We start from the raw sequence: 27,905 nt of genomic DNA on the forward strand, positions 1-27,905 counted from the left end.
TCGACTGTAACCTGCTTTATTAACACAGAAACTGCACCACACACATTTGAACCTCATAGCCAATGAACAGACCCAGCACTTAGCAACTTCTCCCTCCTGCGCCCCAGAGAAGGGAGAAAAAGAGGGAGCAGAGGAGCACCAGCTACTTCCCAAACAGCGCCACGGGGAAGTCCTCGCCATCACTGTTGCTGTGCTGCAGCTCCCCGCTCTGCCCCAGCTCTCTCCCAACATCTTCCATGAGTTGCTCCAGGTCCAGGTCACTGGAGGCTTCGTCCTCAAGGGGGACACTTCCAGCCTCCTGGGTCAGGGGTTCCCGGTGTCTGGGCTCTTCTTTCGCAGATGAGGGGCAGGCCCCCTTACACGCTGATAGGCCCAGGTTCTTTGGCACTGTTCTAACTTCTTTTCCCTCTGAAAAGCTGGCTGCCAAGGCCTTGCTCTGGGGAGCTTTAAATTTTTTCTTAGGGCCTAAATGAGAAGGTGACAAAGCCAAGAGTCCTATTAGGTCAGCCTGTCCTTACCTTTTATAAGTCAAACTCCTAAATCTCTATTTCCAAGAAATCTCTGGAAAAGATGACCTTTCTCAATACAAAGAATATGGACTTTGGGATCAGAAAGAGAGTCAAGCCGTCTGCCCTATGCTAGTCACCAGCCTTGAGCACTTTTTAAATCCTTTGAGCCTCAGTTTTCTAATATCTAAAATGGGAATATCCAGTGAGAGAGCTATTGAAAAAAATTTAAAGGAGCAGGCATGGAAGTATCTCTTTAGCCAGCCCTTGGCAATACTGATTAAGTGTTACTTCTCTTCTACCATTCTCCTGCCCCTGGGCCAAATCAAATCAGGAATCATTCTGTTTCTATAGTGTGTGCTGGGTGCAGTCCGAGACGCTCTTTCATTCTAATTTTCATTCATTCTGTAAAGTAATGAAAAGCTGTAAAATGGTTAAGAAATGATTCAGGGAGGGGAGATGCTGACAGGCACCTCATTCCCCTTAGTTTTTCCCAGGCCTTGAGCCTTACCTGGCTGGTCAGAATCTGAATTCCCTTGGCCTTCTTTCCTTCCCATTCTGGGTGCAGGAGGAGCTGTGGATTTCCTGCCTAGAGATCTCTTCATTATCTTCCTCTGCAGTGTCCTGCCTCGGCCATCTGCTGTGCCTGCATCACCCCCAAGCCCTAGCCGTGAGGGAAATGCGTTTATTTCTCTCTAAACGACAACTCGGCAAGGGCAGATGGACACTGCACATTGAGTTTCTGCCCTGCCCCACATCTTCTGCTCAGTTGCAATCTAGTGAGTTTTCCTGGTGGCCTCTGGCTCTTTTTCAACATCTTTTCCCCCCAATTCTCTTTTTTTCTTTTATCCCCTGGATCTTCTTCTCTTTACAGTTCTCCTCAGAGTCTACCTTCTCCAGAAAGCCATCCTTCTTGGCTAAGAAATTAAAACCTTCCATCTTTCACCTCAGATTTTATAATTCAGTACAGAGAAGCAAAGGGGTTCCAGCTCCCCATGACACTATGGGTGAGTGTTGCCTGTTTTCTCAGGTCCTGGCACTGAGATGGGCAGTGAGGTCCAGCTACCTGCAGACTCCCTCTCTACCACTTCCCTGCCTTAACTGTGGGTTGTGCTCCATTTCCAGCTGGCCTGCTTACCTCTTGGCTTGGTTTTTTGGGTCTGTATTTTGACTCGCTTACGAATGGGCAAAATTGGGTCCTGAGGATGGGAGAGAAAGTTTAAAAAAATGATAAATCAAGGCCCCTAACTGTTTTTAATAGAGAAGGATGCTACAGAATGACAGGTGGGCTTTGGGGAATCAAAGTAGCTTCTGTGAGCCTGATATTGTTTAAATTTCTGGCAACACAGAGAAAAATGTATGGTCACTTTCCCAGTCTGTTGGTATTCATCAATGCAAGGCTTTAGGCATAAAAGAAGGAAATAAAGCTAGGCCACAAGTATGATAAAAATTGCTAAATTAAAAATTAGAAGAAAAAGTGAAAATATATATTTCCTATACCTGGAAAAGAGATGCTAAGAAAACAAGTGAATGAAAATCCTCCATGTCCATGTAGGGGAGAAAGGAGTGGAAAGAAACAACTGGTATTCTCTGAATTGCTCCCTGAGGAGTCAAATACATACAGTAGGAACTGAGATTATACTCAAGAAAGAAGTTCCTAGAGATGTGGGAAATTAGAGAATAAAGAGGAAAGAAGAGACTTAGAAACCCCCAAATATCTGACAACTGGGGCTCCCTCAAGGCAGGGTCAGGATAGCTCCTTAGTAAATCTAAGTCCATTCTAACGAGATCCTTACAGAAAGCTCCTGAAAGGAAACCCCAAGATCCTTGTCTAAACAATTTTTTTTTTTTTTTTTGAGAGGGAGTTTCGCTCTGTTGCCCAGGCTGGAGTGCAGTGGCGCGATCTTGCCTCACTGCAAGTTCTGCCTCCCAGGTTCAAGCGATTCTCCTGCCTCAGCCTCCCGAGTAGCTGGGACTATAGGTGCCCACCACCATGCCCGGATAATTTTTTGTATTTTTAGTAGAGATGGGGTTTCACTGTGTTAGCCAGGATGGTCTCGATCTCCTGACCTCGTGATCCGCTTCCCTCGGCCTCCCAAAGTGCTGGGATTACAGGCGTGAGCCACCACACCCAGCCATCTAAACAATTTTTAAAGCTAATGTTGGCCAGGTGTGGTGGCTCATGCCTGTAATCCCAGCACTTTGGAAGGCTGAGGTGGGAGGATTGCCTAAGTCCAGGAGTTTGAGACCAGCCTGGGCAACCTGGTGAAACTCCATCTCTATAAAAATAAAAACTGAAATTAAAGCTAATCTTACTGTTTTCTCTCCTTCCTCCTTTTCCAACTCTTCCTCTTTCTCCTTTTTCTCTAAGCAGGATCCTGGGCTGTTCAAACCAGAGAGCTGTAAGTCTAGAACAGGAAAAGGAAGGAAAGGCTAAATCATTCATACCATAAAATAGTGAGTTAATGAAGCTGATCACAAAGAATCTGTCTTCTAACTGTGCCTTTTGTGTACAAGTGGTATTTTCTCCATAAAATGTGATCCCAGATTTCCACCCTTTTCAAAGTCCATCACTATTCAATACACCCTCCCTCCCCATTCTGTTTCTCCCATTCCTCTCTCCACTCATCTGCCCATCCATCCTAGATACTGGGTCAATGACATTCACAAGAGCCTCCTATTAAAGAATCCAGAATTAGCCTGATGATAGAGAATATAAAATAAAGAAAAACATGGGTTGCTGCCCTCATGAAGGAATCCCTCCCATCCTTCTCCAGTCCTCAACCTCCATTTATCCTACCTTTTCTTTCCCCATTACTGTTAGATCCGTTGAATCGGCTCCAGAAACCAAACAAGTTAACCCGTTCCTAAGGGAACCAAGAAACAAAAGCATCATCCACTACCCTTTCAGGCGCAGCTTTTGCCTTCTGTCTTCTGGAATTTAGTTATGATGAAATTCTGATTCATTTTCCATACCAAAATTATCATTATTATTATTTTTGAGACAGGGTCTTGCTCTGTCACCCAGGCTGGAGTGCAGTGGTACAATCTTTACTCACTGCAACCTCCCCATCCCTGGCTCAAATGATCCTCCTGCCTTAGCCTCCCAAGTATGTGGGACTGCAGGCATGCACCACCATGCCTGGCTAATTTTGTATTTTTTGCAGAGATGGGGTTTTGCCGTGTTGCCTAGGCTGGTCTTGAACTCCTGGACTCAATGGATACACCTGCCTTGGCCTCCCAAAGTGCTAGGATTACAGGCGTGAACCCCCTGCCCAGCCCTCATTTTCCATACTATTTTCACTTGAAATTACACATTAGGCTTATCTGACTTTTTATGGAGATTAACTAATTATAATCTCTATTTCCAGTTTGTTTCTAATTCAACAAATAAGGGAAATTTGGAGGGGAAATTTTCACTGTTTTTTACTCTCTATCCTACCCCCACCAACAGAATTTGAGCATAAAAACTGACTCCACAGAAAAGAGAGGTTAGGGCACTTATATCTGAAACCTGAAGTGAAATATAGAGGTAGGATGGCCCCTAGCACAAACCATCTTTGTCTGGACTGAGAAAGAATCCCCCTTGTCCAAGAGTAGGGAAAGGAATGGGTGTGGTCTGAACACCCTCCCACCTGAATGCTGATCTGTTCTGCCTCTTGAGCCATCATCAGGGCCACCCCCAGTTTCTGGCTGCAGTCATTTCTGCGCTTTTTCTGAAATAGAAGATTAGAGCCAATGATAAATATTGACTTAAAGATTAGAGTCATGACCAGGTGCGGTGGCTCACACCTGTAATCCCAGCACTTTGGGAGGCCGAGTCAGGTAGATCACGAGGTCAGGAGTTCAACACCAGCCTGGCCAAGATGGTGAAACCCCGTCTCTAATAAAAATACAAAAATTAGTTGGACATGGTGGTGGGCGCCTGTAACCCCAGCTCCTCGGGAGGGTGAGGCAGAGAACTGCTTGAACCCAGGAGGCAGAGGTTGCAGTGAGCCGAGATTACACTACTGAACTCCAGCCTGGGGGACAGAGCGAGACTCCATCTCAAAAAGAAAAAAAAAAGAAAAAGATTAGAGTCACTAATAAATATTAGAGAAGTGACCCCAGCATACTGCTACCCATCTGACATTCTCTTCGACTACAGTATTTATTTCCAGTTCCTAGTATTGATACGATACTCCTATTCTTAATATTTAGGGATCGGACATAACACCCCCCTTCCGTCTAATAGACGTCTTACCAATTCCTAACTAGGTATATGTATATGTTTGGAGACAGTCTCACTCTGTCACCCAGGCTGGAGTGCAGTGGTGCAATCTCAGCTCACTGCATCCTCCACCTCCCTGGTTCAAGCAATTCTTGTGCCTCAGCCTCCTGCTGGGACTACAGGCACACACCACCATGCCCAGCAAATTTTTTGTATTTTAGTAGAGACGGGGTTTCACCATGTTGCCAGGTGGTCTCAAACTCCTGAGCTCAGGCGATCTGCCCACCTCGGCCTCCCAAAGTGCTGGGATTACAGGTGTGAGCCAGCACACCTGGCCCTAGCAATATTTTCAACCAACATTTTGGTGTCCTCTCCAAAGTGAATCCCATGGAAATTTGAAAACAGGATTATAGGAGCCCAGGTGATTTCACTTTGAAGCTTCTGACAAGTTCCTTTAGATCCAGCTGTTTGATTTAATACTCATTGCTTGATTTTCTAAGGCCCCTGAGCCATTGAGCCTCTGCTCAATTGCAAGGCTGGTCAAACCCAAAGTGACTACAGGGAGGAAATATGATGGTGCTAACCCAATGGTTCTCAACCGGGTAGACTGTGCCCCCCAGAAGGCACCTGGCAATGGCTGGAGATAATTTTTTGGTTGTCACAACCATGGGCAGGGTGGAGGTGGGGGCTGCTGCTGGTTAGATGCCGCTGGAGCCTGGGGATGTTGCTAAACATCCCACGATGCACAGGACAGCCCTCCACAACCAAAAATTATCTCGCCCGAAATGCCAATAGTGCTGAGACTGAGAAATCCTGAGTTAATCTGTGCCCTCATTTCTGCCACACCTGCTTTGGCTAAACTGTAGAAAAAACCTCATCTTCAGAATGGCCCCCAATCTGTAGGCAGGGAAGGGGACTGAAAAAAAAAATTGCCCTGCTGCAGTCCTGGGAGCAAGAAGAGTCCTTCATGAATTACCTCACCCTTGGCACACCTGGTCAGACACAGAACTTTCTCCCGACATGGCTTACCCTGGGAGAAAATGAGGTTTAAGAAAAGGAAGATTTTGTTTTCTCTGTATCACAACAGAACCCCAAGATGTGCTCACCATGACTGATAGCTCCAGGGACAGCTCCTGGAAGTTCTTTAGCATGTTGACTGGGATCCATGCACGAGAAACTGTTTCTCCAAAAAACGTCACATGGTACTTAGACTGAAATAAAAGATGATCCTGTTACGGACTCCTGTCCTGCTCCCTGCTTTTCTCCTCTAGCCAGAACAGATCGGGAGAATGGGAATTCACCCAGAAGGAGGTGCTGGGCCTCACATACTCCTTTCAAAGCCTGACTCATCTACCCTACCCTCGTTGCAATTGTTCTTCCATTCTAACCTCAGGAATCCTAGCCAAAGCGTATTTATCAAAACCACTAATGCCCTGACAGTGGATAAATATTTAATTAGATACAAGTTTGTTTCTATTATATGTGTGAGCACTTATCTCTGTGTTTGTCATCCTAGTTAAGTGTCTGTTTTCACTTGTGTCTGCTGGCTATGTCCATGTCTCTTATCTGTACGTCTGTGAGGATGGATTTGTTCATTACTTTGGCCTGAGCTCCTTCTTACCCTGAACCAGGAAACTCACCGGCAGGGAATCAAGATGGGAAGTAAAAAGAAAATATTCCCCTAAGTCAGGATCAGATTCTATCATGCCTGGCCACCTGGAGAAGATAGTTGGGTGTAGGGGACAGAAGAGAAGGGGTTAGATGAACAGAACACAACCTCATCAATGTACATGCACAGAGAAGAGCAGTATGATTTTTTTTCTGAGACAAGGTCTCACTCTGTCACCCAGGCTGGAGTGCAGTGTTACAACCATGGCTCACTGCAGCTTTGATCTGTCAGGCGCAAGTGATCCTCCCACCTCAGCCTCCTGAGGAGCTGGGACTACAGGCACATGCCACCACACCCAGCTGTTTATTTTATTTTTTGCAGAGATGGGGTCTCACTATATAGCCAGGACTGATCTCAAACTCCTGGGTTCAAGCAATCCTCCTACCTCAACCTCCCAAAGTGCTGGGATTACAAGCGTGAGTCACTGCGCTCAGCCAGCAGTATGCTTTGCAAAAAAAGGATCCAAAAAATAGATTCCCCTTCCATCATCCCCCTCTAGTGGTCACTACTGAATGACTCGTGAGAAAGTGACTTCCATCGATGCACACAGGAGCTCAGAATATACCTAGTGAAGGTATCTTACCCTTCTGAGCCATCCACAATCCTAAGAACAAAATCTTCGACTAGAGACATCTCCAAAGAAGAAACTATCCCACTTTTCCTTGTTCCCTTTACTTTGTCTCTCTCAATCTCAATATTTTTATTTATTTTTGAGATGGGGACTCACTCTGTCGCCCAGACTGGAGTGCAGTGGTGCAATCTTGGTTCACTGCAACCTCTGCCTCCCGGATTCAAGTGATTCTTCTGCCTCAGCGTCCTGAGTAGCTGGGACTACAGGCACGCGCCACCACGTCTGGCTAATTTTTCTATTTTTAGTAGGGATGGGATTTCACCATGTTGGCCAGGCTGGTCTCAAACTTGTGGTCTCAGGTGATCTGCCCGCCTTGGCCTCCCAAAGTGCTGGGATTACAGGTGTGAGCCACTGCGCCTGGCCAATCTCAATATTTTTAAATGCCTCAGATCCACCCTCTTCTTTCTACCAGTTGGGGTAGCACTATCAGACCCTTTTTTCCAGGGAGCTATCACCTCCATGCTGAAACCTCCAGAAAATACACTCTTTCAAAGCCTCCAGGCTTGGTACTTTATCTTTTCTCTCACCCCATGCTCTTTCTAAGGCCAGAACCATTTCAATTACAGATGTTTTCCATTTGCTTCCACCCCTGCTTGAATCTACCTCTCCCAAGTTTGTGAAGGATGCTCTGACTGTGTCATAATGCCCTACCAGGGGTAACCGTATTGCTTGGCCCAGATGATGGATCCTGGGATGTAGGAGGCATAGGCCACATCACTCTCAAGCCCTGTCCAGGTCTCCTCAGGAATATCACAGCGATTATACTGCACATCTGCTGAAAGAGAGAAGGAATGAAGGGACAGGAAGAGACTCTTTAAGAGAAAGAGCTGGATGAGAGCTGGGGAGAGAACAAGAAGGAAATTGGTATATGCAGCAGGTGGGACCAAAGGGGCACCTGGGAGATCAGCACAGAGGAAGAATAAAGACCCATGGAGGAAATGCAGCTGGAACCAGCTGAAATGCAGCTGGAACCAGCTGAAATGCAGCTGGAGGCAGTAGGAATGGTGCCTCCTCATACTCCAGGAAGAGATTCCACACTCCTGCTTGCATGCCCGCGTGTCTGACTGTGCTCCTGTCTATGGAGCACCATAAGAATAATTTCTCTGAGACTCTGTTTTCTCATCTGTAAAATAATTGGGCTGGACAAGATCATCATCATCTCTTCCAACTAGTTCCAAACAGCCTAGAATTCTAAGCGCACCAGATCTCTCTCGTCTGTTTTCCCCGATATATCCTATATCCCTCCCTATCCACCAACCCAATACCAATATTTTAATCAGGATTGACAGGGGCAGACCAATGCTCATGTATTTAGATTCCAGGCCCCTCCCCAACAAGATCACTTTACAGGGCATCTTCCTCCAGCCTTTTCTGCCCAGATTCATCTCCATATGAGAGGCAGATCCTTCCTCTCTCCCAAGCACTACAAGGACACTGAGTGCTAACTATATTTACGTAGTATTTAATCTAAAGGATAAGTGCAGAGAAAGAAAGGGAGGAACAATAAAACATGAATGAAAACATTTCCAGTCTTTTCTACCTGTGTTCTGATCACAGGACCAATTATCTGGGAGAACTGAGGGGTCAATGTTCCCACACAGCCGCCTCCATTTCCCACAGTTTGGGAAGGAACACTGGACCCAGACCAGACATTGACCTGTGAGAGGAAAAAAATGAAATAAGAGACTTAAAAATATGCTCTTCCTTCTTTAATCCAACTAAAATCAGGATAACCCTCCCAACTCCCAGAATGACATAGCCAGAGAGACATTAGAGATCAACCAGCCCGATCCCTGACTTATAAGAGGGAAACCAAGGCTCAAAGAGGTAACTGGCTTGCTGAGGATTAGCTAACTTGGCGATAGAGCTGAACTTAGAACTCAAGTCTCATGCCTTGATCTTTTTCCTGTACTAGGCTACCATGTCTCCCTGCCCCAAGGCTGAAAGGAATGTTTCTTGTATTGACAGTTCTTAAATTGAAAGGTTGCCTGGCATCTTTCCAGATAGTGCCTTGTTCTCTGCTGGCATGACACTACTGAAAAGTTCTTTTGAAGGGCTAACCTGCATCTCTTTTGTGCACAACATCCAGAGTTCTTATCCAAATCTCAACTGATTTACCTGTCACCAAATCACCAAGTTGCAAACTTTAGGACCAACAGTGTCTGAGTTCACTCTTCTCCAAAAGACACAGGTCTAAGCCTATCACTTCTCCATCAACTATTAACTCTGGGCCCTGCTCAAAGGCCAAGCCTTCCTTTTATCCATTACCTTCCAGACCCCCACCTCTCCTAAGCTGACCCATGTCCCTCAGCCTCTCCTCTCTCCCACCAAAACTCTTCCATTGTGGTCTTGGAAAGTCCATTGACTCGAGCAACAAAAGTCCACATATCCTCAACCTCAAATCTGAACTTCTATCTCCTTTCTGAAGCCTGGAGACCCACTAATGACACTGCCCCACCTAAACCACCCCCACCTACAACCCTGTAAGTGCAGTCAGTTCCTCTCACACTCCCCATGTCTCTTGGGACAGAAAGTCAGGCTGGCATTATCATTGCCCCATTGCTACTACTCTCCAACTCTTATAAAAACTTCCTCCCTTGAGGTCTATGCCATGGGACTATCCTCACCTCTCATCTCCCTTGTAGAGATGCTGGTATCTGATTCAGTCTTCTCTCCACCTCCTGCCTTCATTCCAAATGACCTCTACATCCACAGGAACTCCTCATACAGCACCCCATTATTTCAGTCCCTTGACTTTTTTCTTCATGTCACCTCTGGAACCCACTCCCACTCCTGCATGCCCCACCCAGTCATCTGCAGGAACTGCACACCCTCTGAGCCACTCATCCAAACATCCTATCTACAAAAATGCCCCGTCTTCCACCTCACTTGCTCAAAGACTCCTATAGCAACTTTCATTTTATCTAGCTCTCCAACCCACTGCCCACTACCATCCTCTCCATCTGGAAGCAACTTTCATTCTTCACTCTGTTCCACTCTGGTTTGATTACTTGACATTTACTTGGATTCTCTTGTAGACACCTTCAGCTCCCTTTCCCACTGTCGTTCTTCCCACCCAGGTGGCAAAACACCAACCAGAATGAACCCTCTCCACCTTTTCTGAGCCTACACTCAAGCAATTGAGTTGACAGAGAAAAATCACATAACAGACACATAGGTATCGCTATATATTCACTATTTATTTATCAACCAACATATTTCTCCAGTAAGTTCACTCTCTCCCACTGCCAAATTTTACCTTAAATACCTGATCATAAAGGATGGCTCCTAATCCCATCCCTCCAGAATCATCCCTCAGAAAAGTTGACGTGCATTTGGGTCTTTTCAAAATATCACATATAAGGATCACTTTCGCAATTACTTTTTTTTTTTTTTTGAAACACAGTCTCGCTCTGTTGCCCAGGCTCAAGTGCGGTGGCGCAATCTCGGGTCACTGCAGCCTCCACTTCCCAGGTTCCAGTGATCCTCCCACTTCAGCCTCCCAAGTAGCTGAGACTACAGGCATGCACCACCACACCCAGAAAATTTTTTGTATTTATTGACAGAGGCAGGGTTTCCCCATGTTGCCCAGGCTGGTCTTGAACTCCTGGGCTCAAGTGATCCACCCTCCTCAGCCTGCCAAAGTGCTGGGATTACAGGGGTGAGCCACCATGCCCAGCCTCAATTACCTTATCTTGAAGAACAAAGTACTGGTTGGGACTAATATGTTAGTCTGAAATGACAGTTGCCAATAGTAGTTTTGGATGTTTACAGAGGTGAGCTAGCAAGACTAGAAAAAAAGAGTAGGAGGAGAGGCCAGGAGTCATATATATTAATACAGATCAATAATAATACAAATTGTTAGCTGTGAAAGCAGTGAGTACTCATAAGAAAATGAGTAGGAAAAAATCACTATAATGATATGGAACTGGAAATTTATGGCTTGGAATAATATTTTTGACAAGAACATTGTACTTTTTTAAAAGTTCAAGTAACCTAAAGGAGAAGATAATGTGCTCTGGAAAACTGTGTTTGATGCCCGGATGTGGCTCTATGATCATGAAGACTGATGTCACAGACACATGTTAAGAGGATTTCACTTGACCACTCATTCTTGAAACACTAGTTTCCTGGGTTCTGTGATGTCTCATTCTCCTGTCCCCCTCCCCCTGATTTTACTGGCAAGCTTCCCCCTCAGTCTCCTTTGCTGGGTTCTCTTCGTTCTTCAATCTCTAAATGTCAGGGGTCCCAAAGCCCAATCATGGGCCTTCTCTCCCCATGATACACTTTCTCCTGAGGCAAGCTCACTCATTCCCATGGCTTTGAAATCTATTTTCATACCTGACAGAACACAGCTGTCTACTTACAGCCTCTGTTCTGAGCTCGAGATTCCTAAGCCGCCTTGCTCTTTGACATCTCTATTTGGATGTCTCACAAGGATCTCAAACCTAAATGTACCCAAACCTGAATGCTTCATCTTATATTACAAATTTTTTCTTCCTCCGCTCTTTCCCATCTCCCTTCACATAACTGTTCAAGACAGAAACCAATCATCCTTGACATACCTTCTCCTGCTCCAACCTTCCAGTATCTAATTCATTACCAACTTCTAACAATTTTACCTCCAAAACATACCTTAAAACCATCCACTTTTCTCTTTCTCTATTTTGATCATCCTAATCCATTTTATTTTTTTTTTATTTATTTTTTTTGAGACGGAGTCTCGCTCTGTCGCCCAGGCTGGAGTGCAGTGGCACGATCTCCACTCACTGCAAGCTCTGCCTCCTGGGTTCACACCATTCTCCTGCCTCAGCCTCCCGAATAGCTGGGACTACAGGCGCCCGCTACCACACCCGGCTAATTTTTTGTATTTTTAGTAGAGACGGGGTTTCACCATGTTAGCCAGGATGGTCTTGATCTCCTGACCTCGTGATCCACCCGCCTCGGCCTCCCAAAGTGCTGGAATTACAGGCATGAGCCACCACGCCCAGCCTTATTTTTTAAATATATATTTTTTTGAGACAGGGTCTTGCTCTGTTACCCATGCTGGAGTGATGTGGTATGAACATAGCTCACTGCAACCTCAAACTCCTGGGCTCAAGTGATCTTCCTGCCTCTGCCTCCCAAAGTGCTGGGATTACAGGTGTAAACCACTGTGCTCAGCCATCATCTTAATCAAAGCCTAATACCTAATCCTAATACTAACTTCTTAACTGGTCTATTCTTCTTTTCTCCCCATACTCCATCTCCAATTAATCACCAAAGGATCCTTTTAAAACATTAATGTGAAGATGTCACTTCCCTGGTTAAAACCCACCAGTGGATTCCCCCTGCACTTAGGATAAAATGTTCACTCTGTACATGGTCTTTGACCTAGCCACTGCCTCCCTCTTTCCAGTTATCCAGAGCCACGTTCCCAACTTGCCTCCCCTTGCTCTCTGAGCTCCGCAATCACACTGGCTTTCTTTTAGTATCTGGAACATACCACACTTTACCCTACCTAAAACTCTTTCTTCACTTGGATAACTTCTACTCTGCCTTCAGGTTTCAGCTGAAATACTGTTTCCTTAGAAATGCACTCCCTGACCAGCCCAATCTTACTTCCTCTCATGACACACTGCTCTTTTCCTTCTCTGTACTTAATGCAAATTGTATTCATTAAATACTCCTTCCTACTTCAGGAGCACTCACCTCTCCTTGGCAACTGTAAGAAATGGGAAGAATGGTTTATTTATAGCAGGAGGCTAATAAATCCACTACAATCACAATTCAACTCACAATCACCTAGAGGGTGAACCCTCATCTGCCAGCCTAAGATCTAGTCCATGCAGTAATTCTTTTTTTTCCATTTCTTTTTTAATATAAATTCACTTTTTTTCTTTTTTATAGAGACGGGGGTCTCACTATGTTACCCAGGCTAGTCTGGACTCAAGCAAGCTTCCTGCCTCAGCCTCCCAAAGTGCTAAGATTACAGGTGTGAGCCACTGCGCCAGGCCTCTTACAGTAATTCTGAGTACAGGAGACAGAGCAACACAAATCTAATGACACCAATTTATTTGAGCTAACCAGAGATCAGGTCAGTGGGGTCTGCAGTACCCCAAAAGTTCTCAACAAGCACATCTGAGTTTATATAGTCACATAAAACCAAAAGAAAAACCTTTTAGTTTCCTTTTTGACTCTACCTAGAAACTCCCTTCGGGTAGTCTGAACTCCAGGCCACCTGGTTGTTCAAATTAGACTTATACCTCAGTGCCTTATGTTACTATGTCATTATAACAAGAGGAATGGTTTATTGACCTGAACTACCTTGTTTGGTGCCTGCATAGTCTTGGAGTTTTCTTCCAAGTATGTGCAAACTATATTATGCTTCCACAACCAAAACCACATATATGTACACATACAGATTAGACACTACGTAACTTTTTATTCCACTGTTTCTTAAAGTTGGAACTTGTTCTGTCTTTTTGTATTATGTTTTGTTTTGGGGTTTTTGTTTTTGTTTGGTACAAGCCTGTTTAGATTGTTGTCTATTTATTTAGTTTTTTAGAGACAGGGTCTTGCTCTGTCACCAAGGCTGGAGGGCAGTGGCACAATCATCGCTCACTGCAGCCTCCAATTCCTGGGATCAAGAGATCCTCCCACCTCAGCCTCTTGAACAGCTAGGACTACAGGCACTACCACTACATCCAGCTAATTTTTTTTTTTCTTGTAGAGATGAGGGTCTCACTGTGTTGCCCAAGCTGGTCTCAAACTCCTGGTCTCAAGTGATCCTCCTGCCTTGGTATTTTTGAATTTTTGAACACACTAGTATATTGTATGATCTGTTTTATTTCTTGTCATAAAATTTACCATTATCAGGCTGGGCACGGTGGCTTACACCTGTAATCCCAACACTTTAGGAGGCCGAAGCGGGCAGATCACAAGGTCAAGAGATCGAGACTATCCTGGCCAACATGGTGAAACCCCATCTCTACTAAAATTACAAAAATTAGCTGGGCGTGGTGGCGCATGCCTGTAGTCCGAGCTACTAGGGAGGTTGAGGCAGGAGAATCGCTTGAACCCGGGAGGAGAAGGTTGCAGTGAGTGGAGATCGCGCCACCGCACTCCAGCCTGGCGACAGAGCAAGACTCTATCTCAAAACGAAACAAAACAAAAAAACAAAAAACCCCTCCCTCAACTCCGTACCCATTTTTTTTTTTTTTTTTTTTTTTTTTTAGACAGAGTCTCCCTTTGTTGCCCAGGCTGGAGTGCAGTGGCACAATCTTGGCTCACTGCAACCTCCGTCTCCTGGGTTCAAGCGATTCTCCTGCCTCAGCCTCCAAGTAACTGAGACTACAGGCGCATGCCACCATACCCAGCTAATTTTTGTATTTTCAGTAGAGATGGGGTTTCACCATATTGGTCAGGCTGGTCTTGAACTCCTGACCTTGTGATCCACCCACCTCGGCATCCCACAGAGCTGGGATTACAAGCATGAGCCACCATGCCCAGCCTCCATTCCTTTTTATCTACCATTTTCTCCCTCTTACTTTCCCTATCTAAACTAATTGAAAAAGTGTCTACTCTTCAACCAGCTATAAGCTGCCATTCACGCTTATCAACTCTTTCAGTAGCTATAACCAAACCGCTAATGGCTTCCTAATTGTGATGTCCTTGAGCTTATGTTTATCCTCTTTGATTTCTTTACGATGGCATTCGACATGGCTGAGCATCCCTCTTTCTTTAAATTCTCTCCTCCCCTGGGATCTATAATACCACTCCTTATTTTTCTATTACCTTTCTTACCACATCTTCTATTACCTTTTTTACCACATTATCTCAAACTATTACCTTTCTTACCACATCTTCATTTTCTTCCTGGGAAACATCTAAAATGCTTTGTACACAGTAGGCACCCAACAACTATGGATTATGTGAATAAATGACTGAATGAATGAAATTATTCTTTCGGCAGCATATTCTGCAACAAGCAGCTGTGAGAGATTGACTATATTCTTTGCAGAGGTTCCTCTAACATCCTAACCCTGCCTCTCTGCTCTATTTCAAATTTTCAGGCCAAGTAGGTTTGCCAAACCAGCTAAACTCACCAAAACCACTTATCTCTCCTTTTTGCTGGTCCCTGATCTGAGAATGATCCTGAACTGTTTTCTTTAGTCGGTCTTCCTGTCTGTGCTCATGTCCACCTTGAGTTTTCTCCACCTTCTCATCTTCTGGGAAGAAAAAAGAAAACGTGAGGTGGGGAGATGAAGAAGACAATCTTTGTAGATAGTAAAGGTCAGTGAAAGAAGGAAGAAGAATCACAGCCTAATAGTCTCAAGTCTTGGGCTGAAAATTCTCAGCCTGCCCATGGTCCCATTCCCTAATTTCCTGGAGCTAGTACTTGAGCCAGGCTTCAAAGTATATCTGACTGTACTTACGAGCTTCCTTCTTTCTTTTGCTTAAGGTGAGTCTATTGGATTTCTTCTTAGAGGGTGCAGGATCTGGCTGGCCTAACTTAGATGTCCTTATCTCAGGGGCAGCTTCACCTTCCCAAGACACTGAAATCTCTTGAGTATGTGGTACCTCCTCTCTGAAAATGAGGTTTTATTTTAATGAAAGGTAAAAATAGAGCAATTGCAGAACTCTTCTTCTGAAAAAACCCGAGTAAAAGGAAGACAGATGAATCCTAAGCTCTCTAAGACCTCCTGAGGCCATTTCATCCATCTACTTGCCTATTTTTCCCAACTCAAACAGGTATCTTTCCTGAGCTGAGAGAAATCTATAGAAATATGATAAATGGGCTGGGCCTGGTGGCTCACGCCTGTAATCCCAGCACTTTGGGAGGCCAAGGCGGGTGGATCACAAGGTCAGGAGTTCGAGACCAACCTGGCTGATATGGTGAACCCCGTCTCTACTAAAAAGTATAAAAATTAGCCGGGTGTGGTGGCAGGCGCCTGTAATCCCAGCTACTCGAGAGGCTGAGGCAGGAGAATTGCTTGAACCCAGGAGGCAGAGGTTGCAGTGAGCTAAGATCACGCCACTGTACTCCAGCCTGGGCGACAGAGCGAGACTCCGTCTCAAAAAAAAAAAAAAAAAGAAATATGATAAATGACCAGATAGACAGACAGATAGATAGACTGACTGACCATGAATGTGTAGTCCATTCTGTGTTCAACTTGCCTCACTGAAATAAACTTACCCATTAGCATTATCAGTATCAGTAGCAGAAGCAGTAATTCCTGGCTCCTTGTCTGATTGGGTAGATACTACGGGCTGGGCACAAGAAGTCTCTGCAAAATCAAGGCCAGATCCCATCCCTCCCAAAACAAAATACTATAAGCAGAGAAGCAAAAAAACGAAAAAGCCACTCTATTACTCCCTAACATTTTCTCTAAAGTGTCTTCTCCCTGTAGCCTGAAAGAGCCTACCTGTCATATCACAGAACTTTAAATATTTAAATTTTCAGGAAAAACTACAAATATGTATCTTTCTGCAAGCCTTTCCAGATCGATCTGCCTCATTCCAGGATGGCCAGGTAATGATAATTTTGTGTACATAAAAAAATTATAGGCCAGGCATGGTGGCTCACGCCTGTAATCCTAACACTTTGGGAGGCCGAGGTGGGTGGAATGCCAAACCTCAGGAGTTCAAGACCAGCCTGGGCAACATGGTGAAACCCTGTCTCTACTAAAATACAAAAAATTTGCCAGGCACGGTGGCATGCACCTGTAGTCCCAGCTTCTCGGGAGGCTGAGGCAGGAGAATTTCTTGAACCTGGGAGGCGGAAGTTGCAGTGAGCCAAGATCATGCCACTGCACTCTAGCCTGGGCAACAGAGTGAGACTCCATCTAAAAAAAAAAAAAATTATATGTACTGTATTTTATATCATTTGTTGCTCAAACGCCTAGGAATAGAAGTATACCTAAGAATGGCTGAAATGTCAGACTGTTCTCTTCAGCCTCATGAACTTATGGAAAAGCCTTCATAGAGGTTTTTGGTTTTTTGGTTTTTGGTTTTTGTTTTTTGGTTTTTTTTTGAGACAGAGTCTTGCTCTGTCGCCCAGGCTGGAGTGAGGTGGCGAAATCTCGGCTCACTGCAACTTCCGCCTCCCAGGTTCAAGCGATTCTCGTGCCTCAGCCTCCTGAGTAGCTGGGACTAGAGGTGCACGCCACCACGCCTGGCTAATTTTTATATTTTTAGTAGAGACGGGGTTTCACCATGTTGGGCAGGCTGGTCTTGAACTCCTGACCTCAAGTGATCCACCCGCCTTGGCCTCCCAAAGTGCTGGGATTACAGGCATGAGCCACTGCACCTGGCCTCCCTCACTGCGTTCTTTATTCCAAAAACTAAATCTCTAACCACATGCAAAATCGGTATTAGAAACTGAAATTTGCAAGGGTATGTACCCTAAGTTTTTCAAATCTAGGGAAAACAATTTTATCTTATTTGAAGTTGTTTGTAAATACATGGAAACGAATTTTAACTGCATTTTAAAAATTTAGGGCCAGGCACTGTAGCTCACGTCTACAATCCCAACACTTTGGGAGGCTGAAATGGGAGAATCGTTTGCAGCCATGAGTTCAAGACCAGCCTGGGCAACATAGCAAGACCTCATCTCTACAAAAAGTAAAAATTAAAACAACAGGCTGGGTGCAGTGGCTTACACATGTAATCCCAGCACTGAGAGGCTGAGGTGGGCAGATCACTTGAGGTCAAGAGTTCGAGACCAGCCTGGCCAGCCTGGTGAAACCTTGCCTCTACTAAAAATACAAAAATTAGCCAGGCGTGGTGGTGGGCGCCTGTAATCCCAGCTACTCAGGAGGCTGAGGCAGGGGAATCACTTGAACCTGGGAGGCAGATGCTGAAGTGAGCTGAGATCATATCACTGCCCTCCAGCCTGGGTGACAGAACAAGATTCCATCTCAAAAAAAAAAAAATAATAAATAAGTAAATAAATAACAACAAAAATCCCATAATGGCTTGAAAATTTAGTTAAGACTATATATAAATTCTGAAGTCAATGTAATCCACTTTTTCTAAAAATATGTACCCTTTATCTAAGGTGGTTTAGCTATAGTCCTGTTGACAGATGATGAAGTATTTTTAAAATATGTTGAAGTCTCATCTAATATTACCTTATTTAGAAGATGGGAGAGAAAGAGAGAAGCTGTCAGACTTAACTCTCCCTCTCAGGTAACAGTCACTGCTTAACTGAAACCCTTTTTCTCTTACTACATGCCATACCCAAGCACTCCTGAAGGGACTTCTGCAGAACAATCTGGACAATCTCCTCAAATTCTGCATTGGTAAGACTTGATTTTTCCTGCAGAGACAAGGGTAGGGGAGGAAAACCACTTATCTTTCCATAGTTTTCCCCTCTGAACAGTCAGGGAAGCCTCCTTCAGATGAGGCAGTAAGTTTATAAGACGGAAGGCATGCAGTCAGCATACCTAAGGAGGCCATGAACTATATCCCAGATCTCCTGGGAATAAAGGAGTCAAAGGAAAGAGAAAAGTGTATAATGTCTCTGTCTACTTCTATCCCCACCTCTAACCCACCTCATCCCATTATTTCCTGCTCAATTCTTTCATCAAAACATTTTTGACCTCTTTGAGAAAAAAAAAAGGAAGCCCTCAAAAAGGAATACAAACCTGAAACTCTAGGGTGAATTTCCCCAGTGTGAAAAGACTCTGTTTGTCTAGCCTGAGCCAGGGGTAAGGTATGAGAAAATCTCCTACCAGAGCCCACCACTATGACTGGTACCTTTTCTTTCTTCTCTGCTTGCTTGTTGATTTGTGCCTTTCTTTTTTTCTCCTGTTCCCTGCTTGGAACATTCTTCATGGTTGCTTTTTCCTCTTTCTTCTTTAAACTGGCCTTTGGCAGGCTTATCCTGGCCTCTGTCTCTGGGGAACTGATCCCCGGGGTCTCCTCCTTAGGGGAGTTAGGGCTACAAGGTAACAGGCTGTAAGATTTTTGTGCAGGTGGGGCAAAGATTCTCTTTGGTCCCTTTCCACATTCTGAAAGAAATGTGATCAAGTGGAATTTATGAAACATACAGTCTAACAGAGATTGCCAAACATTACCCTTTGACTAGCCATAACAGAATGATATGGAGAGAGCTTTTAACAAATTCAGATTCCTGGGTCTCTCACTGCTTACTCCACTCCTCAGCCCTGAGATGCTGATGAGGTAGTTAGACATGAGAGGCCTAGCAATCTGTAATTTTACAAGGCTAGTTGATTCTGATATACTGCCAGGTTTGGGAACCACTAAGTCAAAGGTGATAAATATAAGCATGCAGGAAGCTGAGTTATCCAAATGTGAAACTGTATAATTTGCTCATTTTTACTTTAGATAAAATGTTATGGAAAATTAGAGCAAATTTTTAAAAACTAGTCAAAATCTATAAATTATTCACAGCTCTTATGCCACCTCCTCAATAAAAATTATAATGATCCTCCCAGGTATATCTTTCTTTGAGCTTCCTTAATACTCTGCACATAACTGGTGGCATTTACCACATTCAACTTTATGATAGGTATTTAAATGCCTTTTCTCTCCCTGAGTTTATATGTTCCTCGAGCAGGACTGTTTTTAAGTCATATTTATTTCACTCAAAGCATCTAGCAGAGCAGTAATTTGACCTGAGTGGGCACAGAATATAGGGACCCGTACCATCCTTTGGTGGAAAGGATGTCCAAAAGGAGAAAAATGAGAGAAATGTATGAAGCGAACCTCCCTCACTCTTGACTCACCTTCTTTATTCTGCAACGTTGTCATCATTCAGCTTAGAAACTACGCTTTGTGTGCCTCTGTTAGAAAAAAGAAATTAACTGCTATGACTCTGATTAAACAAGATTTTAAACTTTCTGTCTACTTGGGTTCAGAAACTCTTTGTTTCAGACCTCTGAACTAGGTTTCTGCATTCTTGACCTCCTCTGTGGTGCCAATTACACACCAGGGAATAATGAGTTACTGTTTTAAAGATTGGCAACAATCAGTGCTGGGTGTGGTGGCTCACACCTGTAATCCTGGCACTTTGGGAGGCCATGGCAGGCAGATCACTTCAGCCCAGGAGTTCAAGACCAGCCTGGGCAACACGGCAAAACCTCATTTCTACAAAAAATAAAACAAATTAGCCAGTGTGGTGGCATGCGCCTGTAGTCCCAGCTACTCTGGAGGCTGAGGTGAGAGGATCACTTGAGCCCAGGAGGCGGAGGCTGCAGTGAGCCAAAATTGTGCCCCAGCACCCCAGCCTAGGTGACAGAGTGAGACCCTGACTCAAAAATTTAAATAACAAATAAATATTAGCAGCAATCCTTAGTGTTTTATGTGCCTAGAACCATGTCCAGCCTAGAACCATGTCCAACCTAAGGCAGGCAGCAGAAATGGTAGTAGTACCAGAAGCATAGGTGGTAGTAGAGCAGTGATGGTAGGGTATGAACAATCCTGGCAGTTAAGAGTTTTCTTCAGAGGGATAGCCTCATTTCATAAGCCTCTCCTAAACACTTAGAACACACATATAATTTGGTAATTCTCTGACCTCAGAGGTCTCTGTGCATAGAGAAGCCCCACTTTTAACATCATTATAATGTTTATTTTCCCTTTCTTAGATCCTCAGTCCAATCAATTTTCAAATGTACTAGATTCTACCAATCTCTAGTCATAGCTCAGAAGTATTTGATAACCAGTAGAGGTTCCCAGAAAATTTAGTATCTTTTTCCTTATTCTACCTTAGCACCTAATAATGAGAAATTAAATTAGTGCCTTGATATTCATAGTTCATCTTCAGCAATCTACTCACAGATGTTCCACACGACATCAATGTGTTTCTTTTTTTTTTGAGATGGAATTTTGCTCTTGTTGCCCAGGCTGGAGTGCAATGGTGCGATCTCGGTGCACCGCAACCTCCGCCTCCCGGGTTCAAGCGATTCTCCTGCCTCAGCCTCCCGAGTAGCTGGGATTACAGGCATGCGCCACCACCGCCGACTAATTTTGTATTTTTAGTAGAGACGGAGTTTCTCCATATTGGTCAGGCTGGTCTTGAACTCCCCACCTCAGGTGATCTGCCTGCCTCAGCCTCCCAAAGTGCTGGGATTACAGACGTGAGCCACTACACCCGGCCTGACATCATGTGTTTCTTGATTACTAATGACACTGTGACTAATGGTAATGGCTAACACTTATTGAGCACTGACTATATTCTTTACCCTTTATGTAGCATTCCATTTAATTCTCACAACAGATCTATGAGATTGGTAACATTTTACACTTGGGGGAAATTCAGGTTTACAGGGATTTAAAGATATTAAGTCATCGATAAGTAGTAAAATCAGGATTAGAACCTGTCTGATTTCAAAGTTTGTGCTAATAACTGCTACACGACATCCTAACAGTCTAATTCAGTGCTTCACCACCATTTTGCTATCACAGCACACACAGAAAACATACATTAATAGCGTATACTGAAACACATAGAAAATGACATTTCCAGGTACTCTGGGGGTAAAAGGACCAGGCTGCTCACAGCCATAGGCAACTGAAGAGTCACACCAAAGGCTGAAGAAGAAATTAGTATCTACACAGCTACAAGCTATTCGTGACCCACCAGTGTGCCAAGACTCATCTGCGAACATTCCAGTATTTTTATTTTCCAATTTATACTTTCCCACTACTGATATTATTTCCATACAGCTTTATTTTTATTTTTTCTTTCCAACCTTTATTTTACATTCAAGGGGTACATGTGCAGGTTTGTTACATGGGTAAATTGCATGTCATGGGATTTAGTGTACAGATAATTTTGTTTCACAGGTAGTGAGTATAGTACCCAATAGGTAGTTTTTCAGTCCTCATCCTCCTCCCACTCTCCACCCTCAAGTAGGCCCCAGTGTCTATTGTTCCCTTCTTTGTGTCCATGTGTATGCAATGTTGAGCTCCCACTTTATAAGTGAGAATATACAGTATTTGGTTTTCTGTTCCTGCGTTAATTCACTTAGGATAACGGCCTCCAGCTCTATCCATGTTGCTGCAAAGGACATGATCTTGTTCTTTTATATGGCTGCATAGTATTCTGTGTCCACCCAGCTTTCTGAAGAAAAGTTTTATTTTATTAACCTTAACTTCTTGCAGCCCTTCACCCAGTTTTCTTTAGGCTTAGGGGATATATGCCATTCTTACTTTTATAACCATTATAAAAAGCATTATAGCTCTGGGAAGACCTTTAGGGATAATAAAGCCCCAACTCCCCTTTCTACAGATAAAAAAAATATGCTAACAGAGGTTAAGTGGTTTGCCTAAAGACTCAGTGTTAATATATTGTTGAGCTTAGATGAACCCAGGACTTTTGCCTCTCAATTCTACTAATAACATATCTATTCTACTCAGTGATCTTGTTTCTGGCTGTTGGCTTTGAGCAGTTTGAAAACCCTGCAACTGAAACTCTTTGTTCTAAATCTGTGATCCCCCACTATAAAGAGATCCAAAAGCGACGTAAAATGGATCATTTGGTTCATATACACTTCCCTTTAAAGGATCAGAAAATTTTAAGACCTTAAATGGCCAAACTCGTTCAAGGTGTAGGGTTCCTCTCTCTAGACCATAAGATAAACTTAAAGGGTACTGAGGTTTTGACAGCGTGGCCACAGCATGGCTAAATGTGAATACCCTTCAGCATTTTTCTCTTCCTTTTCTCACTTCTATAAATGTGAATAATTCAGATGTGCTGTTCTAAAGCAACGACGTTTCCTTTATATTAAGGGGCACATTTTCTTGCTGTTTCCATTTTAACTCATCATCACCAATCCCAAAACATATTTGCTCCAGAAAAAAAGGCAAGTTGGAATTTTGGGGAGAAACACTCAAGCAAATTAATCTCCTTTATTATAATTCTAAATAGAAGGTAATGAATGGATAAAATTGGCCAGGCATGGTGGCTCACACCTGTAATCCCAGCACTTTGGGAGGCTGAAGCGAGTGGATCACCTGAGGTCAGGAGTTCGAGACCAGCCTGTTCAACGTGGCGAAACCCCTTCTCTACTAAAAATACAAAAAATTAGCCGGGCGTGGTGGCGGGCGCCTGTAATCCCAGCTACTCAGGAGGCTGAGGCAGGAGAATCGCTTGCACCCAGGAGGCGGAGGTTGCAGTGAGCCAAGATCGCGCCATTGCACTCCAGCCTGGGCAACAAGAACAAAACTCCGTCTCAAAAAAAAAAAAAAAAAAGACTGGGTAAAATTAGCCTGTAAAAAGAATATTAATTTGACCACAAATGACAAATATATCTTTTCCTAGACTTTAAAATTCCAAAAAAGATCACAAGAAGTCTCTGTCTAAATTACAACGGCTATGCTAAGTGAGAAAAGCAGAGTGAAAATTAGTGTGTTTCAGATGACAACATTTAGTTTTTAAAAACATATGTCTGGTATAATAGGCTTGTTAATCATAAATTTTCTCTGGAAGAGAAAAAAAATGGATCAAAATGCCTCTGGGGAGTAGAACTGGGTAGATGAGAGTGAAAGGAAGCTTTTGGTGGACTCCCTCGTTTATCTTTGGCATTTTAAAACCTATAAATGTTGCCACTTCAAAAAATATTTTAAATTATTATTATTTTTTTTGAGACACAGTCTTGCTCTATCACCAGGCTGGAGTGCAGTGGTGCAATCTTGGCTCACTGAAACCTCTGCCTCCCAGGTTCAAGCGATTCTCCTGCCTCAGCCTCCCGAGTAGCTGGGATTACAGGAGCGCACCACCACCCCCAGCTAATTTTCGTATTTTTAGTAGAGACGGGGTTTCACCATGTTGGCCAGGATAGTCTCAATCTCCTGACCTCATGATCCACCTGCCTCAGCCTCCCAAAGTGCTGGGATTACAGGCATGACGCACCGTGCCCGGCCGAAATTCTTTAAGTAAAATTAAAAGAGAGTATTTCGACCAACCTAAAAATGCAAACATTTCCAGTATTTAGGTTCAAATCCTTATCTAAACCTGTAAAGATCTTCCTAGGCCAAAGTATATTTCTGGAGCCCCAACCAACTAGATAGAATTGTGGTTCACTGTTGTTGAGTTAATAAGATGTAATAAATCTATAAACAGTGATGTATAGTATCACATAATATGTATAATCTGTGCATGTGATAACACTGCTTTCAAACAAAAGCTCTAACCTGATCAGTAAAGAAGGGAAGGCCAGGAAGTCACTTTCTGATAACTCAGGTTGCCCCTCCTCTGTTTCAGGTGAATTAACTTCTTTCACAATAACAAATACTGAAAGCTGGTTCAGAGAGAGAGAGAAAAAAATATAGACAGTTAATAAAAATATAAAATACCACTAACTTTCTTCTGTACAGCTACTAAATGACTAGGGGCTGTAGACCCAGGAATAAAATTTGAGGTTTTAATTTCTCTTTTCTTACCTTAGATGAAGAGGGGCAGGGTGTGGGGTTGCGGGGAAGGCTTTAATAAGAGGGGCAAAGGCTTTAAATAAGAATGTAAAAGAACCAGTACAGTTCCAGAAACCATATTCTCATCACTCAACATATGAAATGAGGGTAAATAAGGAGGGAAAAAGAACTTAGAAATAATAAAGGGAACCAAGGGAAGGTGAATGAGGATCTCAAAAAAGAGTTTTATTTCACTTAGAACATTAAAAACCATCACATAAATTTTGAGATGAAATCACCTAACTCAGCAGTTCTAAGTGTAGTCCCAAAATCCTAGGGGGCCCTCTCCCTTTTCCAACTACCTATCTGTATTAAGCTGGATTTTCTCATGTACTTTTACAAAAACAAGATATCCCAACAGACTGAATGCAGAAACAGACGAGAACCCAGTTGTTTTCTATTAAGCCAGACATGAAAGAGATTTGCAAAAATGTAAACCACCACCATTCTTCATGCTAAATTTTCTTTTGTTTAGGAGAATGTATTTTTCATAAAAACCTGTTTAGGTTAACATATTTATTATTGTTATTTCTAATCAAACTTTAAATGTTTCTGAATTTTAATTTCTAAAATGTTAGTATCAACAGATACAAACCAAATAAAAGCTCTTTGGAGTCCTCCATAAATTTTAAGGGTATAAAAGGGTTCTCAAACCAAAAAGTTTGAGAACTGACCTAGTGAAATAACTTGTCAGTATTGCCAATACTTTTTTAAATAAACAGTAATTCTCTCTCCCCACACACCATTCAGAATGTGTTCCCAAATTTCCTCTTCCTAACCATCCAATCATTCCCTTCCTTATATTGTTCCTCAAATCCTTGGTCTAAGAGAAGTAAACCCTTTAGCATTGTCCTCTAACCCAGACTCCCTGAGCCTCAAAAAAGCGGTATTTAAAGAGTATATTTCAGCCGGGCGCAGTGGCTCACGCCTGTAATTCCAGCACTTTGGGAGGCCAAGGCAGGTGGATCACCTAAGGTCAGGAGTTCAAGACCAGCCTGACCAACATGGTGAAGCCCCATCTCTACTAAAATACAAAAATTAGCCAGCGTGGTGGCAGGCGCCTGTAATCTCAGCTACTTGGGAGGCTGAAGCAGGAGAATCACTTGAACCCAGGAGGTGGAGGTTGCAGTGAGCCAAGACCGTGCTACTGCACTCCAGCCTGGGCAAAATGAGTGAGACTCTGTCTCAAAAAAAAAAAAAAAAAAAAGTATATTTCAAATCTTTTTTAAGCCAGAGTCTGATCTTCCTTTTTGCATTAATAACAGTATGTGGACTCCTGCTTATTTTCATGCCTCAATTAACTAATAGCAGTTTCCTCCCTCCCTCTCACTTTTTCTCCCTCCCTCTCTCCCTCCTTTACTCCTTCCTCCCTCTTCCCTCCCTCTCTTCCTTCTTCCCTCCTTCTGTCTCCCTTTGTCCCTCCATCCCTTCCTCCCCCTCCTTCTCTCCCTCCCCCTCCTTCCTTGCCCTCCTCCCTTTCTCTCTCCCTCTTCCCTCCCTCCTCCCCCTCTCCTTTCTCCCCCTCCTCCTTCCCTTTCCTCCCCCTCTCCTTCCTACCCCCCTCCCCCTCCTCCCTTCCCTGCTTCCCCTCCTTCTTCCTTCCTCTCCCTCCCTCCCTTCTCCCTCCCCCTCCTCCCTCCCCTTTCCTCCCCCTCCTCCCTTCCCCCTTTCCTCCCTCCCTCTCTTCTCCTTCCCTCCCTCCCGTTTCCTCCCCCTCCTCCCTCCCTCCCCTTTCCTCCCTCCCTCTCTTATCCTTCCCTCCCTCTCTCTTCTCCTTCCCTCCCTCTCTCTCTTCTCCTTCCCTCCCTCCCCTTTCCTCCCCCTCCTCCCTCCCTCCTCCCTTTCCTCCCTCCCTCTCTCTCTTCTCCTTCCCTCCCTCCTTCCTTCCTCCCCCTTCCCTCCCTCCTTCCTTCCTCCCCCTTCCCTCCCTCCTTCCTTCCTCCCCCTTCCCTCCCTTGCTTTCTTCCTTCGTGTTTGTGCACAAGCTCAGCAAGCCCGATTTAAAACTTTTAACAAGAAAGAAGAGGCGGGTGGATCACCTTAAGTCAGGAGTTCGGGACCAGCCTGGCCAATACGGTGAAACCCCGTCTCTACTAAAAATACAAAAAAATCAGCCGAGCACGGTGGCGCGTGCCTGTAATCCCAGCATTTTGGGAGGCCAAGGTGGGCGGATCACCTAAGGTCAGGAGTTCGAGACCAGCCTGGCCAACATGGAGAAACCCCGTCTCTACTAAAAATACAAAATTAGCCGGGCACAGTGGCGGGCGCCTGTAGTCCCAGCTCCTCGGGAGGCTGAGGCAGGGGAATCGCTTGAACCCAGGAGGTGGGGGTTGCAGTGAGCCGAGACTGCGCCACTGCACTCCAGCCTGGGCGACAGAGCGAGACAGTCTTTAAAAAAAAAAAAAAAAAAGCCCCAATTCCAAATCCACCTGCAATCCAAAGGGAAGAAGTTTTGCAGAGAAGTTCTTCCCATTTGTGGGGCGCTCCCATTTTTCCTCTCTTCCCTCACCCCTTATTCTCTCTCAGGGATAGCGGTTCAAGTCGGTGTCCCTGAGCCACACGTCCCCCTCTCTCTTCCCCGTCCCCTCCCTTCCTTCCTCCCACCATGAGGGAATCTCCCCTCCACCCCCACTCCTGCCGAGGCCCCGTGATCCTTATTCTCACTCATATCGTTGGTGCCCGCCAGGAGACTGGGCTATTTTTTTTTTGTCTGTTTCTTGGGGGCGACAGATTCTGAGGAAAAAGGGCGAAGGGCTGGTTGTCGCCCTGAGAAAGTTTCTCCTCAGGCAACGGGTGCCAGGACTGGCAGCGCCTAGCACCTTCACCTACAACCAGAAACTAGCTGGCTACCTTCAGGAGCAAGGAGGACCTAAAGGCGATGGGCGGAACCAGCTGCCGCAGCGACTCCGCAAGCCCCTCACACCTCAACCCAGGTTTCCCGCCACCAAGAAAAGGCACGAGGACGCCCTGAGCACTAGCTCCACCCGAGGGCGGTGCGCTCGCGGGGCCGAGGCGCATGCGCAACTGGAAACAGCGTCTGCGTTTCCGCAGCTGAGGTAAATCCGCCATCTTCCACCCGAACGTCCCGGGAAAACTACAAATCCCAGAATCCTCTTTGGTGTCACATATTTTTAGGCGGCGGCCGCGGCGCCTGATTGTTCCTGAAGCACATCTACTAACTTTTCTGTTTCAGACTGCCTTTTCCTCCCTCTTTCCGTTCTCTAATTCCTCCTCTTCCTGCTGGTCTCCTTCACGCCCTCACCTTAGGATTTTGAGACTCTCCTGGACCCCACTGTCACCCCTGCCGCCCTGTCCTCGGCCCAGCACTCCGCTGGCAGGGAGACCGGGCGGCGCATCTCCCCGGGAAAACGGCGTAGACTCGCTTCTTCCTCATTGGCAGAAGCTGGGGGGGCCCAGCGCGGACCGAACCCCCGTCCCCGCCCACACTCGCTGGTATATAAGTCGGCGTGG

At 44.6% G+C, this 27,905-nt stretch overlaps 1 protein-coding gene across 41 annotated transcripts, besides 3 other annotated features; it reads right to left on the reverse strand.

Annotated features, from left to right (window-relative positions):
* Nucleotides 1-27,832, reverse strand: ZCWPW1 (zinc finger CW-type and PWWP domain containing 1). Of its 41 annotated transcripts, none has more exons than NM_017984.6 (18): nucleotides 27,697-27,832; nucleotides 24,159-24,265; nucleotides 19,751-19,807; nucleotides 18,759-19,012; nucleotides 18,240-18,318; nucleotides 16,195-16,312; nucleotides 15,434-15,585; nucleotides 15,104-15,223; nucleotides 8,557-8,673; nucleotides 7,668-7,788; nucleotides 6,357-6,432; nucleotides 5,823-5,927; nucleotides 4,142-4,222; nucleotides 3,307-3,373; nucleotides 2,823-2,914; nucleotides 1,645-1,705; nucleotides 1,018-1,170; nucleotides 1-465 (listed from the first exon to the last, which is right to left on the reverse strand). In NM_017984.6, exons 3-18 carry the CDS (start codon nucleotides 19,776-19,778, stop codon nucleotides 143-145), a joined length of 1,947 nt encoding a protein of 648 aa, NP_060454.3. In that variant the 5' UTR covers nucleotides 19,779-19,807; nucleotides 24,159-24,265; nucleotides 27,697-27,832; the 3' UTR covers nucleotides 1-142. The 41 variants fall into 41 exon arrangements, 30 of the variants coding, with proteins under 30 accessions (NP_060454.3, XP_006716101.1, NP_001372939.1 ...); XM_006716038.5 differs by having other exon boundaries at nucleotides 7,668-7,791; NM_001386010.1 differs by having other exon boundaries at nucleotides 15,104-15,226.
* Nucleotides 17,219-17,308: an enhancer, noted in NCBI's record as "active region_26362". NCBI's record gives its function as "activates an Ori minimal core promoter by ATAC-STARR-seq in GM12878 lymphoblastoid cells {active_cell/tissue: GM12878}" and the evidence as "EXISTENCE:reporter gene assay evidence [ECO:0000049][PMID:35858748]".
* Nucleotides 27,310-27,359: a silencer, noted in NCBI's record as "silent region_18431". NCBI's record gives its function as "represses an Ori minimal core promoter by ATAC-STARR-seq in GM12878 lymphoblastoid cells {active_cell/tissue: GM12878}" and the evidence as "EXISTENCE:reporter gene assay evidence [ECO:0000049][PMID:35858748]".
* Nucleotides 27,520-27,749: an enhancer, noted in NCBI's record as "active region_26363". NCBI's record gives its function as "activates an Ori minimal core promoter by ATAC-STARR-seq in GM12878 lymphoblastoid cells {active_cell/tissue: GM12878}" and the evidence as "EXISTENCE:reporter gene assay evidence [ECO:0000049][PMID:35858748]".

Source organism: Homo sapiens, chromosome 7 (genome assembly GCF_000001405.40).
Source record: "Homo sapiens chromosome 7, GRCh38.p14 Primary Assembly".
Taxonomy (NCBI): domain Eukaryota; kingdom Metazoa; phylum Chordata; class Mammalia; order Primates; family Hominidae; genus Homo; species Homo sapiens.